Source organism: Homo sapiens, chromosome 4 (genome assembly GCF_000001405.40).
Source record: "Homo sapiens chromosome 4, GRCh38.p14 Primary Assembly".
NCBI lineage: Eukaryota > Metazoa > Chordata > Mammalia > Primates > Hominidae > Homo > Homo sapiens.
The window spans coordinates 112,778,310-112,795,393 of NC_000004.12; the positions used below are offsets into that span (position 1 = coordinate 112,778,310).

Below are 17,084 nucleotides of genomic sequence, written 5' to 3' on the forward strand. Positions count from 1 at the left end.
TATGGGAGCCCACCACCACGCCTGGCCAATTTTTGTATTTTTAGTAGAGATGGGGTTTCACCAAGTTGGCCAGGCTGGTCTTGAACCCCCAACCTCAAGTAATCCCCCTGCCTCGGCCTCCCAAAATGCTGGGATTACAGGCATGAACCACCGCAGCTGGCCCTGAAATATGACTTCTAATTAACTATCATTTGAACAAACATCTGTGGAGGATACAATGAAATCCATGTGTAGCTAAGGGTTGGGGAGACTGGGATAGAAGAATGCACAGTCCTTCTCCTTAAAGAGTTTGTCATTTCTCGCTGCTCTGAAGCAGGTAGGTTGATATCTGTGACTTGCTTACCCCTTGTAATAATGGTGTCAATTCGAACCAATCGCTGACAAGGGGCGCCAGCCTGCAATAGGATTGTTACCTAGATTATTCGTGTTTGTGTTTAGGGGAATGTGGAATGTGGGAGTGGCTGTTAGATAACCACCCAGTACACCATTGGCTGCAACTACTTTGTTTGTTGAATTTTTTTGTCTGGGGGAAATCGAATGTGTAATAACTTCTGACTTCTCAACATCATCATTTATAGGCAGTACTAGTGCTTTCCACTGATTTCTGACGTGCTGAGCTAGCTTAAACTACCTATTCTTCACATCACATTGGACCTCCAGGGAAATCTAATTTGTACCAAAGTTGTCAGGAATTGAAGTTTGTCCCTGTGCAAGTTTACTATTAGGTTGGTGCAAAAGCAACTTTTAAATATGTCATCATTCAGTTTGAGCGATCCTGCAACCCTTATTTGTTAGTGCTGTTTTCTGGGAGTGCCGAGCCACCTCTCTTGGTGAAGTCCTGGTATATTTTTTAATGTACATCCTATAATATATATGTGGGATAAGTAATTTTCTGGATAATTCTGCTTTTTAAAAAAAAGCCACTTTGGCCGGGTGCGGTGGCTCACGCCTGTAATCCCAGCACTTTGGGAGGCTGAGGCGGGCAGATCACAAGGTCAGGAGATCGAGACCATCGTGGCTAACACGGTGAAACCCCGTCTCTACTGAAAAATAGAAAAAATTAGCCGGGCGTGGTGATGGGCGCCTGTAGTCCCAGTTACTTGGGAGGCTGAGGCAGGATAATGGCGTGAACCCGGGAGACGGAGCTCGTGGTGAGCCAAGATTGCGCCACTGCACTCCAGCCTGGGCGACAGAGCGGGACTCGGTCTCTAAAAAAAGAAAAAAAAAGGCCATTTTATTTTTATTGACAAAGAAGTACATAGATTTCTCATTTTCTTCTTATTTACTTACACAATGATCTCAATTATACAAATGTATGAGAGGACTCCTCAGATATTATCACTGGATTTAGCACTTTCCTCAAAGTTCTGGAATGTGGAGTACTCTAAATGTTTTATGGACGCATTCACACACATTTTAATTTCAGGATTGTTCAGTTGTCTTCTTGCCTTCACCTGAACATATCCTAAAGTAGGAGGAAAATGAAACCTTTATGATAGAGCCTGACATTCTGGTTTCCAGAAACAAGGGGTTTCTTGCAGGGCATCATTATTTCCTTTTTCCAGGAACTCTGCCAGAAGATGGCATTGTGCTCAGAGCCCCTTCCACTGCACTGTCAATAGAAGCCAGTGAGCCAGGTGTGGTGGTTCACACCTGTAATCCTAGCACTTTGGGAGGCCGAGGTGGGCGGATCATCTGAAGTCAGGAGTTCAAGACCAGCTTGGGAAACATGGTGAAACCCTGTCTCTACTAAAAATACAAAAATTAGCCAGGCTGGTGGTGCACGCTTGTAGTCCCAGTTACTTGGGGGGCTGAGTTGCGGTGCTAAGATTGCGCCACTGCACTCTAGCCTGGGTGACACAGTGAGACTCTGTCTCAAAAAAAAAAAAAAAGAAGTCAGTGAAAACTCTGCAGCACTGGGAAAGCCCATTATCCTCAGCAAGGCTGACAGGAAATGAATTTGCTTGTGCATCTCCAGTCAAGGGCAATGCCATTAAGGTCTGCAAAACTACAATATTGCAGTCTAAAGATTTTTAAATTCTATTGCTGGCACACCAGTAAGACGCTTTTGTTTCAATTAGACCAAGGGCTGGAAACCTAAGTAACAAAGACACAGTGATTATGGTAGAAAACAATTATAATTATGAAAGAAACAAGTGAATTCTAATATATGTTGAGTTAGCTGTAGAATATAGGTAACTCTGTATAGTATAATATTAATTTAATGTATAATATGATTCATATGTAGAACAATAGCATATAATTATTGGATTAGGCTGTTCTTACACAGCTATGAAGATACTACCGAGACTGGGTAATTTATAAAGGAAAGAGATTTAATTGACTCAGTTCCAAATGGCTGGGGAGGCATCAGGAAACTTACAATCATGGCGGAAGGGGAGAGAGAGCAAGTGTGTGAAGGAGGAACTGTTAGACATGCATAAAACCATCTGATCTCGTGAGAACTCAGTCACTATCATGAGAACAGCATGAGGGACACTGCCCCCATGATCCAATCATCTCCCACTGTCTCTCCCTTGACATGTGGGGATTATCAGGATTACAATTCAAGATAAGATTTGGGTGAGGACACAAAGCATAACCATATAAATTATATAACTATTTGTTATACTTTAATGACCATAAGTTGAACCCATTTTTAATTTTTGATAGTATTTTCTTTCTTAAAAAAAGTTATTATTTTTTTGAGACAAGGTCTTACTCTCATCACTCAGGCTGGAGTGCAGTGGTGTGATCACAGCTCACCGCAGCCTCCACCTCCTGTGCTCAAGTGATTATTGTGCCTCAGCCTACCAAGTAGCTGGGACTGCAGGTGCACATCACCACGCCTGGATAATTTTTTGTAGGGAAGGGGTTTCACCATGTTGCCTAGGCTGGTCTCAAACTCTCAAACTCCTAGGCTCAAGGGATCTCTGCCTGCCACCACGCCTAGCTAATTTTTGTATTTTTAGTAGAGACGGGGTTTCACCATGTTGGCCAGGCTGCTCGTGAACTCCAGACCTCAGGTGATCTGCCTACCTTGGCCTCCCAAAGTCCTGGGATTACAGGCATGAGCCACCACACCCAGCTGAAAAGTAAACTTTCCTTATTGAATTTCTGACTTCCATTTCCACTGTCAATGGTAACTAATCGTGTTTTATATATTCTTTCAGAAAGAAAAAAAACAAATTGTCTAAAAAACAGAAATAAGCTCATATTCTTCATTATTTTAATATTAATTATTAATACTATGAAAGAGATTGTCAATCAATTGTAAAGCATGGCCTTATTTGCATCCTGATTTTTAAAAATCATAAAAAACACACAGACTCTATTTTTTTTACAGGTGCTTATTACATAAGTATGTTCATTTTATAAAAATTCATCAAGCTGTCTACTTATAAATATTGCAACATAAAGTTTACTTATAAGTATTTATGACACAAGCAACGAATTTTAACAGTGACTATTTTTGATAATATTAAGAAATTGTTAATTTTTAAAGTGTGATAACAGTATTTTTTTTTTTTTTTTTTTTGAGACAGAGTCTCACTCTGTTGCCCAGGCTGGAGTGCAGTGGCGTGATATTGGCTCACTGCAACCTCTACCTCCAGGGTTCAAGTGGTTCTCCTGCCTCTGCCTCCCGAGTAGCTGGGACAACAGTTGCATACCACCATGCCCGGCTAGTTTTTGTATTTTTAGTAGAGACAGGGTTTCACCATATTGGCCAGGCTAGTCTCGAACTCCTGACCTCGTGATCCGCCAGTCTCGGCCTCCCAAAGTGCTGGAATTACAGGCGTGAGCCACCGCGCCCAGCCTGGGTTAAGTTTTTAGAAGTCTTTATATTTTAAGATATATATTGAAATGCTTACTGATAAAATCTAGGATTTTTTTCAAAATAATCTCATATGTGTTTCTGGAAAGGGGATGGGAATAGAAGTGAAACGCTGGCCATGATTTGCTAATTGTGAAGGCAAAATGATTTGAGTCATTATACTATTCTCTCTACTTTTGTTTATATCTCATTATACTATTCTCTTTACTTTTGTTTCTATTTACCTTTTTCCATAAGAAATTGAAACATATTTTCATAAAATATTTTCCAACTATACAAACAGCTATACAAACAATAGTAATGGAATCAAATAGTGCTTACCTATGTGCCAGGCACTCTTTAAGTCCTTTACATATATTAACTTATTTGATCCTTAGTATACCCCTGTGAGATATATATTATTTTTATCCCCATGCTACAGGTGAAGAAACCAGATTAAAGGCTGGGCTCGGTGGCTCACGCCTGTAATTGCAGCACTTTGGGAGGCCGAGATGGGTGGATCACCTGAGGTCAGGAGTTTGAGATCAGTCTGGCCAACATGGTGAAACCCCCTGTCTCTACCAAAAATACAAAAATTAGCTGGGCATGGTGGCAGGTGCCTGTAATCCCAGCTACTCAGGAGGCTGAGGCAGGAGGATCTCTTGAATCTGGGAGGTGGAGGTTGCAGTGAGCTGAGATTGCACCACTGCACTCCAGCCTGGGTGACAAGAGTGAGACTCCATCTCAAAAAAAACAAAAAACAAAAAACCAGAATAAATAGCTTTTCTTTTCTTTTTTCTTTTTGAGACGGAGTCTCACTCTGTTGCCCAGGCTGGAGTGCAGTGTCTCGATCTCACCTCACCACAACCTCCACCTCCCAAGTTCAAGTGATTCTCTTGCTTCAGCCTCCCGAGTAGCTGGGACTACAGGCGTGCGCCACCATGCCTGGCTAATTTTTGTATTTTTAGTAGAGATGAGGTTTCACTATGTTGGCCAGGCTGGTCTCGAGCTCCTGACCTCGTGATTCCCCCCGCATTGGCCTCCCAAAGTGCCGGGATTATAGGCGTGAGCCACCTCGCCTGGCCTAAATAGCTTTTCTAGGGTCACAGGGTTAGTTTGTGGAGCCACACGCATTCATGTGAACACATGTGTATTCACCTCTTAGCTTAAGAAATAAAACCTATTTAACATAATGGAACACTACTTATATGTTGGGCTGGAACATGAGATTGGTGTTTTTCTATGTCATAAATGCATAAACATTGGCAGTGTCATGTGGTTTAACCCAATATCTCTTTCCAAGTGTATCCTCCATTAATTCTCCAGGTAACAACTCTCATCATTCCCATGCATTTCTTTGAACTTGTACTTCACATGAATGTATACCTAACAATAAATATAATTGTTCCTCATGTTTTTACATTTCTTGATAGCATACTATTGGCATTTTGGCGATTTGCTTTTTGTCTTCAACTTATGTTATGAAATCTATTTATGTTGATATATTATTTATTTATTTATTTATTTATTTATTTATTTATTTATTGAGACAGAGTCTCGCTCTGTCACCCAGGTTGGAATGCAGTGGCGCGATCGGCTCACTGCAAGCTCTGCCTCCTGGGTTCATGCCATTCTCCTGCCTCAGCCTCCCGAATAGCTGGGACTACAGACACCCGCCACCACGTCCAGCTAATTTTTTGTATTTTTAGTAGAGACGGGGTTTCACCATGTTAGCCAGGATGGTCTCGATCTCCTGACCTCGTGATCCGACCACCTCAGCCTCCCAAAGTGTTGGGATTACAGGCGTGAGCCACCGCGCCTGGCTTATGTTGATATATTTTTAAAACGTATTGTGGTATACTCATACTCTGGCATACTATACAATAGTGAAAATACATGAACTAAAGCTAAACTACCTGCTTAGTATCCATTCATGGTATGAGTAAACTCTACCTACTGATGGACATTTTGGTTGTTTCCAGTATTTTCTTGTGATAAGCAATGCTTCTACAAATACATATGGCATACTTAAATGAGTATGTTAAAAGCATAAACTCCTATAAACAATGGCAGTTAATATGCTTTTTTTTTTGAGACCAGGTCTCGCTTGCAGTACAGTGGTGCGATCATGGCTCACCACAGCCTCGATCTCCCAGCCTTAATCGATCCTCCCACCTCAGCCTTCCAAGAAATTGGGACTACAGGCACGTGCCACCACCCTGACTGATTTTTTTTTTTTTTTTTTTTTTTTTCAGACAGAGTCTAGCTCTGTCGCCCAGGCCGGAGTGCAGTGGCGCGATCTCGGCTCACTGCAAGCTCCGCCTCCCAGGTTCACGCCATTCTCCTGCCTCAGCCTCCTACCGGCGCCTGCCACCACTCCCGGCTAATTTTTTGTATTTGTAGTAGAGACGGGGTTTCACCATGTTAGCCAGGATGGTCTCGATCTCCTGACCTCATGATCCGCCCGCCTCGGCCTCCCAAAGTGCTGGGATTACAAGCGTGAGCCACCCCGTCCGGCCCGGGCTGGTCTTAAACTCTTGGGCACAAGCAATCTGCCCACCTTAGCCTCTCCAAGTGCTGGGATTAGAGGCATGAGCCACCATTTCTGGCCCTACACTTTTAATTTAATGGATAAAAATGCAGAGCAAATCATCTTATTTTGCTTTATGAACAGATTTGATTGGATTTTATTTTATCCTTTCTGAAAATTTTCCAAGTGGTGCACACTAATTCTCATGAAAGATTCTCATTTGGTCTTACAGAAAAATATATTTCCTCTTAAGAGCGATTATAAGTGTTGATAGACAAAGCCAACAGTACTTTGTGGTTGAGCTGGAAAATGTTTACTCAGTTTGATGCCGTGGCCAATAAAATAAAACAAGAGGAAAATACCAGAAGTATGGGAACAGAGGGAGTCTTTAAAATTATAATATATTATAGCAAGTCACTTTAATGCAGCTTTGGTGAAACAGCTGCTTGCTGTAGAGAAAATCCATTTAGAAGGTTCTGTGAGCTTGCAGGCTGTGAATGCAAATGATGGAAGAGTTTGTACATCTGGGTTGTTGGTGGGAATATTTAACCTTTTTCACTGCTTACTCTTGGTGCTTCTTTTGCTACCTCCCCTTGATCCTTAATATGTGTGCCTCAGTTTGGATTATTAACAACCCTTCCAATGACCCTCAATGAATGGGTGAAGCTCTTGGCAGTAGTGGCTTTTTTTTCTTTTTGTTTATTTATTTATTTATTTTCCTTTTTTTCCTTTTTTTTTGAGACGGAGTCTTGCTCTGTCACCCAGGCTGGAGTGCAGTAGCATGATCTCGGCTGACTGCAACCGCTGCCTCCTGGGTTCAAGTGATTCTCCTGCCTCAGCCTCTCGAGTAGCTGGGTGACAGAAGCCCACCACCACACCCAGCTAATTTCTGTATTTTTAATAGAGACGGGGTTTCACCATGTTGGTCAGGCTAGTCTCGAACACCTGACCTCGTGATCCACCCGCCTTGGCCTCCCAAAGTGCTGGATTACAAGTGTGAGCCACTGCGCCTGGCCTTTTTGTTTTTTTAAAGAGACAGGATCTTGCTCTGTTGCCCAGGCTGGAGTGTAGTGGGCGCGATCATAGCTCACCGTAACCTTGAACTTCTGAGCTCCAGCAATCCTCCTGTCTCAGCCCCACAAAGTGCTGGGATTAGGTGTGAACCACTATGCCAGCCTGGTGTTGCTTTTTGTTTTTATTTTTTTGAGACAGTCTCTTGCTTTGTTGCCCAGGCTGGAGTGCAGCAGTGTGATCTTGGCTCACTGCAGCCTCTGCCCGCTGGGTTCCAGTGATTCTCATGCCTCAGCCTCCAGAGTAGCTGGGATTACAGGCACGTGCCACTATGCCTGGTGAATTTTTGTATTTTTTTGTAGAGACGGGGTTTTGCCACGTTGGCCAGGCTAGTCTTGAACTCCTAGCCTCAAGTGATCCGGCCACCTCAGCCTCCTAAATTGCTGGGATTACAGGCATGAGCCACCACGCACAGCCTATTTTGAGATATCCTATAAACTTTTTATAATGTTGACCAAAACATTTCGGTTTACAAAATCCATCCTTCTACTTCCTGCTGACAGGTTTGATGAAAAAAAAAAGTAAAAAAAAAAAAAACTAAATTCATCCTTCACTGTGTGTAAAAATATATGGCAATATGAGGTGTGGGTATAGATCTCCATCATTTTGTGTGTGAAAAAAGAAAAGATTTAGAAAGCATCAGCTTGTTATATCAACTAACCACCAGAATTTTTTTTTTTTTTTTTTTTCTGAGATGGAGTCTTGCTTTGTCGCCCAGGCTGGAGTGCAGTAGCGTGATCTCGGCTCACTGCAACCTCTGCCTTCCGGTTTAAGTGATTCTCCTGCCTCAGCCTCCCAAGTAGCTGGGATTACAGGTGTGCACCACCACACCCAGCTAGTTTTTGTATTTTTAGTAGAGACGGAGTTTCACCGTGTTGGCCAGGATGGTCTGAATCTCCTGACCTCCTGCCCACCTCAGCCTCCTGAAGTGTTGGGATTATAGGTGTGAGCCACCATGCCCAGACACCACCAGAATTTTTAATGCCTTTGGTCATCTGTGACAAATAAGAGTAAAATCAAACTTTTTTTTTTTTTTTTTTTTGAGATGGAGTCTCACTTTGTCGCACAGGCTGGAGTGCAGTGGCACGATCTCAGCTCAGTGCAGCCTCCACCTCCCAGGTTCATGTGATTCTCATGTCTCAGCCTCCCGAGTAGCTGGGATTACAGACACGCACCTCCAGGCCTGGCTAATTTTTGTATATTTAGTAGAGATGGGGATTCGCCATGTTGGCCAGGTTGGTCTCCAACTCCTGGCATCAAGTGATCCGCCCACCTTGGTCTCCCAAAGTGCTGGGATTACAGGTGTGAGCCATCACACCTGGCCAAAATCAAACATTTTTATTCCCGCTATTCAAGTCACATATATATCTTGCAAATTAATTTATTTCTATTTAATCTGATAGGTACTGTTTTGGTTTAAATTTTGTTAAATATGCAATGGCAAAATTAAAGTAAGATTAGATTAAAAATCACTTGTCAGCCTTTTGGCTAAGTTCAAGCATAGATTAGATAAAAAAGACAAAAATATATAGTTGACCTTCAAAGTTCTTCACATGTAAAGACCTCAAACTGTTTCAAAATTACCTTCTGCTACTCCCCTCGATAAACCCTCTATTCAGGGTAGACTTGTGTATTACTTGTTCTTAAAATATGTTACATCAGGCTTTTTTGTTTGCAAGGAAGAGATTCACTCAGATAATTTTAAGATAAAGGGGTTTATTATAAATACCCAGGACCCAGGCTTTGTTTTCTGGTGTCTTCTTAGGGGGTTGCTCTCTTCCTTTCTCCCTCTCATCAATTCTCTCTGTATTCTCTACTATAAATTCTGGAGGGAGATAGTCTGGACTAATTTCCATTGCCCCAGTAGGAAAAGTCCTTTGAGTAAGTCCACTCCATGGGTCAAGACGCAGGCTGTGGAGAAGCTGCCCTTGGGTCAGGCCCACTCTGTTCCAATCAGTGGCCACTTCTGCGTAAAGAATGAGTAGCACCACTGTCATGGGTAGGCAGTTCAGTTGGAAGGGGGGCACTTTCTGTGTGACCCTGGGATTGTCATATCCAGACCATGTCTGGAGCATCTCACCTCCCTGCATTTGCTGGCACCTCTCCTTTTTGACCATAGAGTGTTCTCCATGAATTTACACATGTTCTGAACTTAGCTGAAATCTTAAGGGGTTAGGCAAAGCCTGTCTCAAATGCCGCAGTCTCCTGACATCCTCCATGTATGATCATTATATGATCATTAATGATTAGTGAGTCATTACAGAGGACACATATTATGTATTACCCAATGTATTTCTTTGAAGGAAAATTTGTATTATTTTAATTATTTTTATGTACAGAAAACTCAACAGTGCACATTTAACCCAGTTTAGTGGCAAGTTCTTTAGCCTTTGCCTTTTCGAGCTTGGCAATGCGAGCCACAGACTTAGGACCCAGGATGTTGCCACCCCAGTGACGGCAGATCTCATCGTATCTGTCATTGTAATTGGTCCTGATAGCTTCCACCAGCTTAGCCAAAGCGCCTTTGTCTTCCGAGTTCACCTGTGTGAAGGCGACAGTGGTGCAGGTCTTCCTGTGGACGAGACGTCCCAGTCTTGCCTTCCTCTTGATAATGCACTAAGGGACCACCATTTTACGACATAGGGCAGGCAAGAAGACAGCCAGCTCGATGGGATCCACGTCGGGTGCAATCACCACCAGCTGAGCTTTCTTGTTCTCCACCAAGGTGGTGACGGTGTTAACTCCTGCTCAAAGGACAGGTGGTCTCTTGGTGGGGACGTCCCCTTTGCCAGCAGCTTTCTTCTCGGCCTGGGCCAACAGCCTTCTTCTCTTGCTTTGTCTCTGGTCTGTACTTGTGGGCCAGCTTAAGCAGCTGAGTAGCTGTTTGGCGGTCCAGGGCCTGGGTGAACTGGTTAATCGCAGGAGGCACTTTCAGCCGCTTATAGAGGATGGCTCTCTGCTGCTGCAACCTGATATAGCGGGGCCATTTCACAAAGCGGGTGAGGTCTCTTTTGGGCTGGATGTCCTGTCCAATGCCAAAATTCTTAGGCCTTTCCTCAAACAGGGGATTCACCACTTTCTTAGCCTCCTGCTTCTTCACGACAGCAGGGGCCGGAGCCACCTTCTTTCCCTTGGCCTTCTTTCCTTTCAGCATCTTGGGCTGCGGGAGGAGAGAGTTTTTTTAATTATTAATATTATATACTTCATCATCTCAAATACAGCATAAACTCTCTGAGGGCAGGAACCATATTTTATGTATTTTTATTTCCCTCAAAGTGTTTAGGGCATGGATTCTATGTAATAGATTACGGTTCGGTGCCTTCCTCCATCTTAAAAAAATCACATTTGCTTCTAAGGAAAATGTAATGTATACTTATTTGCAAGAAAATAATACTCTCATAAAGAAGTTGTTGTGCATGGAGGGTGCCCTTATACAATTATTATACTGTGGTAAAATGGAAAGTTCAGAAAGGACTCAAAAGGGATTTGAGGGAAAAATCCCCAAGTCTTAGATGAGCTGAAGCCTGAGGTTCTCAGCTTACTAGAAAATCCTTAAGTGTTAGAAGACTGGAAATAAAGGTAGCTGGGAGAAAGGCATCCTGAATAGGAAGATCAAAATGAAGGTTTAGCTAAAGTGGTACCTGATGACTAGTTTGTTAGAAATTCTTAGACGAAGAGGGCACAGGACACCATCTAAATCAGCAGGTCACATGGCTACCAGGGCCAAAGTTATGATTTGAGACCAAGGAGGTAGAGAAAGGCCTTGGAAAAAAAGAATTTTTTAACAGGCTGTAGGAGCACAAAAATAAGCATACTTATATTTATTAACTTAGAATTGAGTTTATTATGGGGAGGAGAAGATATAAGGACAATAGTGACCATTGATGGCTTTAAATCAGTGATTTAAAGATGGCCAGTGATTTCCCTCAGGGATATGTAGTATATATCCTCAAGTTCCTGTATATTCTAGTAAATCTGTGCCAGTGATCTCTGTGTTAGGGATCACAGTAGTTGGAATGGGAGAAGGTATGCTGCTAGAGAAGAAGGAAGAATAAGGGATGGGAAAGAACATGAAACAAAAGGTGGAAGACTTGAAGGCAAAACCTCTCTCTCTTTGCATCAGAGAAATGTGAAACTAAACCAAAACGAAATATCACCTTATATCTGTTAGGATGGCTACTATTAAAATAAAAACAAAACCAAAAACATACACACCAGAAAATAACCAGTGTTGGTGAGAATGTGGAGAAATTGGAACCCTTGTTGGTGGGATTGTAAAATGGAGCAACCACTGCCTTTTTGGAAGCAGCATTAGAGAGTTATCCAAGATGGTGATAGCAAAGGATTCACTGAGGAGCTCCCCAGGTACCAAAAGGATTAGATTTCATTTCTTCTATATGGTAGAGATAGCTTGCTATAGTGGACTACATAGTTTGTCATTGTGGAAAAAAGAGAATAAATAAGAGAAGACTGATTTAGACATTTTTGGAAATAAGAAAGGTGATAAAATATTAAATTAACTTCTACTTATAAGAAGGAATTAGTGGATTCTTTGTTTATTAAAATGACCACTAGTCAATAAAAATAATCTGTGCTTGATAATGTACTAATTTGTCTTCATGAAATATCAGGGCTCCAACCAATTAATCCTGAAGTCTACCTTGTTGATTTCTGAGCCGGATGACCGGATTTCTAGCAGAGTGAGGGGACTCACAGAAGGTCTTTCTTTCTAGTCAGGGGCCCCATTAACTTTTCTTTTCTTTTTTTTTTTTTTTTTTTTTGAGATGGAGTTTTGCTCTGTCGCCCAGGCTGGGGTGCAGTGGTGTGATCATGGCTCACTGCAACCTCTGCCTCCTGGGTTCAAGCAATTTCTCCGGCCTCAGCTTCCCAAGTAGCTGGGATTACATGTGCATGCCACCACGCCGGCTAATTTTTGTATTTTCAGTACAGATAGTGTTTTACCATATTGACCAGGCTGGTCTCGAACTCCTGGACTAAGCGATCCACCCACCTCGGCCTCCCAAAGTGCTGGGATTACAGGCGTGAGCCATCACACCCTGCCCAACTGTTCCTTTCTTAAGGGGCTTCAAAGGTGGGGAGAAATAAAAAGTAGCTTTTCTTCTGGGAAATGTTACATGAGGACTAATTCAGTAAAATATAATGTCCCTGTATCATTCAATCTTACAGAGTATTTGAGCAGTCTTTCTAGCTCCCAGTTTTAAAGAGGGTTTTGATAAATTTGAGCACTTGTCTAAGAAAGACAGTGCTCAAAGGATATGGGAAGAATTGTGAAAATATCTGCATCTCTTTATTTGAAGAAAAATTCTATTGACAAGAGGAGTTAAGTTTATTTCATGTGGCTTCAGAAGGCAGAAGTTGGATTACTGGGTGGAGGCAGCAGGAAGTAGATATCTCCTTAAAATAAGAACTTTCTAACATATGAGAGTGGAATTGGACACCTTGTGAAGCAGGGAGGACCCTGTGCTTGGAGTCTTTAAGCAGAAGCTGGTGAGCCACCTGTCTGGAATATTGTAGAGGAGATTCCCACAGTAGGAGAGGATTGCCCAGATGACCTCAAAGTTTTCTTGAGTCTGAAGGAGCAAGGTAAAGCTGTAGATTTTTGAGCAGCATATATAGGGGTACATATTCGTAAAAAGGTTTCACCTTTTTCTAGGAGCATCTTAGGAACCAAGATCACAAATGTTGGAAAATCAAGGTGGAGGTAAAGAAAGCCTCTTACTTCTTCTTCTTCTTCTTTTTTTTTTTTTTTTTTTTTTTTCTTGAGACAGGGTCTGGCTCTGTTGCCCAGGCTGGAGTGCTGTGGCGCGATCTTAGCTCACTGCAAGCTCCGCCTCCCGGGTTCACACCATTCTCCTGCTTCAGCCTCCTGAGTAGCTGGGACTACAGGCACCCGCCACCACGCCCAGTTAATTTTTTTTTGTATTTTTAGTAGAGACGGGGTTTCACCGTGTTAGCCAGGGTGGTCTCCATCTCCTAGACTTGTGATCCGCCCACCTCGGCCTCCCAAAGTGCTGGGATTACAGGCGTGAGCCACCGCGCCCAGCCTAGCCTCTTACTTCTAAAGCAGCCTATACTTTGTTAGATAAAAGAAGTAAAAATATTAAAATCTACTTGGATAGAATTCCCACATCTTTATGAGTAACAGAAATAAAGGGAATATATGTATATTGGTTCTTTAAAAGACAAGTTCCTAATAACATTACAGATAGATTGTATGTTAGTAGATGCTGGTAACTACTTTTACAGAACATAAACCACATTTTATTTTGTTCTTCAACACATCCTTTCTTTTTTTTTTTTTTTTTTTTTTTTTGAGACGGAGTTTTGCTCTTGTTGCCCAGGCTGGAGTGCAATGGTGCAATCTCGGCTCACTGCAACCTCCGCCTCCTGGGTTCAAGTGATTTTCCTGCCTCAGCCTCCCGAGTAGCTGGGATTACAGGCATGCGCCACCACACCTGGGTAATTTTGTGTTTTTAATAGAGACAGGGTTACTCCATGTTGGTCAGGCTGGTCTCGAACTCCTGACCTCAGGCTATCCGCCCACCTCAGCCTCCCAAAGTGCTGGGATTACAGGTGTGAACCACCGTGCCCTGCGACAACACATCCTTATATTTAGTTCCTTTTTTAGTAGGCACTGATGTAAATTTTGCATCAGGCAGGATATCAGAATTGGACCTAGTGACAACTAAACATTTGAAGGATTTGAAAGCATTCTTACTGTACAAGTAGTATTGCCATGGAATTTGAATCCTTTTAGTATTAAAGAGGATCCACAGTCTACAATGATCAGCATTGTTGATAACTATAAAATGGTTACTAGGGAAGGATGGTTGTCATTTTAGGTGCTTGGTGTTTACTGTGGGTCTCATAAAAATAAATATTTTATATAACTATAGCAGAAAAATATTTTGTCAGATACAAGGTTTATGAGAAACTAATTTCATCTGATACAAGGTATGTAAGAAATACAGAGATGCTACACATTCTATAATTTTCCATCTTCCCTGCTTAGTTGAGTTACTTCTATTTTAGAAACATGGAGAAACATAGACCCCAAAGAAAGGAGAAGGATAGAAAAATTTTGCCCTATTATAAAGGAAGATGTGAATTTTATTTGCATGGTGTGCTATTTCTTTTATTGTTGTTTTATTATAAAGCTGAAACATGCTTATTATAGCATCTTTTGGAAATGAGTGCATTATTTTTAAACCTCCCATCTGCTACCTCAAAACTACATTTCTTTTTTCTTTTTTGGATAATATAAACTTACAATTCCTTTCGATCCAAAATTTTAAAATAAAACCAGAAGAATGTGGTTTACTTCAAGGAGAACCTCAATTTATACTATTAAAAACTTATAGGTATTAAAAATGCAAGAAAAACTTAAAATTAAATTTTTAGATCTTGTGATGCCGTTTGTTAAATCATTTTGTCAAAGAAATTAAAACAAATTGTAAATAAGTAAAGGTTTTTAAAAGCGCTGACTTGACCATTATTAGATTGCTACATGCACCTATGTATGTAACAGAATTGCACATGTACCCCATAAATTTGCACTAATAAAAAAAAGGCAAATCTAAATGTGTTTCTTTAAGAAATTAAGGTTTTAATGTGAAATTAGTTATATGAAAGACCAGAATAATATTTATATTTTTCAGAGAATTTAATGATACTAAGGCATATTAGTTATCAAATAATAATTTAGAAAAGTAGTAATAAGAGAAGTAGATTTTATCATTGTTATTTACTCTGAAAACCCCTGTTAATAATTTTGTCTCATTATGTCATTACATACTAACAATTAGATAGGAATTATTTTATATTTTGGTTTATCATATTACTGAATAACCAAATGATAGAAACTTAAAGACTGAAATGTACTAAGAGATGATTTTGTTATATACTGTCTTTTATAAATGAGAAAACTAAAGCTCAGATAGAAATAAAATAATTTTCTTTTCTTTTTTTTTTTTTTTTTGAGACAGGGTCTTACTCTGTCGCCCAGGCTGGAATGCAGTGGTGCAATCTGGACTCACTGCAACCTTTGCTTCCAAGGTTCAAATGATTCTCCCACCTCAACCTCCCGAGTAGCTGGGACAACAGGCACGTGCCACCACACTTGGCTATTTTTTTTGGTAGAGATGGGGTTTCACCATGTTGTCCAGGATCTGGAACTCCTGAACTCAAGTGATCTGCCTGCCTCGGCCTCCCAAAGTGCTGGGATTACAGGCGTGAGCCACTGTGCCCAGCCAATAATTTTCTCCATTGAGTAACAAGCAGCTCCTCAGCACCCCATAATCACATTTTATTTGGTTTATAGAGTAACTAATTGTTGACTTTACCCCAATCCAGTGTGTCAGAAGACATTTTACAATGCAAACACAGAACTCTGAAGTGCTTTTGTGACAAAATGTGAATTTCAATTTAAGATAAGCTATAAAAGATTATGAAAATCCTTTGGAAAGTTTTCATGCAGTTAATAGTTTATTTGCATGGATTTCTAACTTGGATGTCTTATAAAATTTGTTGATGTGTATTAAGATTTTATTTGTAAGGATTTGATGTCCTTAAAGTAGTATTTTGATAGACAAGTCTTCTTGCTTGGAAGAAGAATCAGATCATTTGTTGGGAGATAGTTGATTAAGTGATTGATAGAAGCAGAGTATGTAGTTATCTTATTTGTTTATTGCTTTGTCTATTCCTAGCTAATAAAGCGAAATAATCCCATGACCAATACTCCTGGAAAAGCAATTTAGGTATGATTAAGTCAAAAAGGTCTAGTTTGTTTGTAGCAAAGTACAATATATAAGCCTAAATTTATGCTTAGTGATTTTCAGGCATCAAGTTTAATTTCTTTCATCTATATGAGTTTGTTGCTCTGTTTTATTTTTTGAGCCAAGGGAGGTACTGAATGCAGAGATAAAGAAGCACTTTCTTCTGCCATTCCCCCTTCTCTCCCTTCTCCCCAAACTATTTTAACAGGGAATCAGTATTAAGTGCTTTCATCAAAGAGTAAACTTGCTGCCAGGAGTCTCATTTGCCTGCCAACATAAAAGTTTGGCTATAGATTTTTGATTTTAGGGTAACACCGCTTTTTCCAGGAGGAGGCAGTGACAGAAATGGACTCTAGGCAACTGTGAGCGTAATAGAATAGAATGAGCCTGGGCTATGGAGTCAGAAAATAACTAGATTTGTCTCCTAGTCCAAAGATGATAACATGTTTGTTATGAAAATCAAATGAGGTAATGAATGTCAAGCAACAATAGCAGTATCTGGTACATGCTGCATAATTTTTAATTTTCTCTCTCTCCCCTACAAATCTAATTTGACTTCTTTTGGATTCCTTTGGAGACTAAACTTTGCAATAATAGAAGTAGGGACAGAGAGCACTGGACAATCCCAGAAGCCATCTTATCTGTGGATGTTATTTTCCAATAAATGTAGAAGAGAGATTGAGATTACCACTCTCCACTGTGCCCCATCCCTAACACCCACTCTAACTTCAGTGTAAATCCAGTTAAACTAGATTCCTGGGATATTCATGTTTGGATATATTACTCAGAGACTTGACATGATGATAACTAGCCCTTCGTTCCAGGGAAAGGTAACCCAAGAGTGGCCCCAGTTGCTCACAGAGTCTCAGTGCTC

General features: G+C 41.0%; 1 protein-coding gene and 1 pseudogene across 4 annotated transcripts in view; one reads left to right on the top strand and one right to left on the bottom strand.

The window, feature by feature from the left end:
• ANK2 (ankyrin 2) overlaps window positions 1-17,084 on the top strand; it is a 678,115-nt gene that overhangs the window by 72,688 nt on the left and 588,343 nt on the right. The window lies entirely within an intron of this gene.
• On the bottom strand, window positions 9,714-10,591 carry RPL7AP30 (ribosomal protein L7a pseudogene 30; annotated as a pseudogene).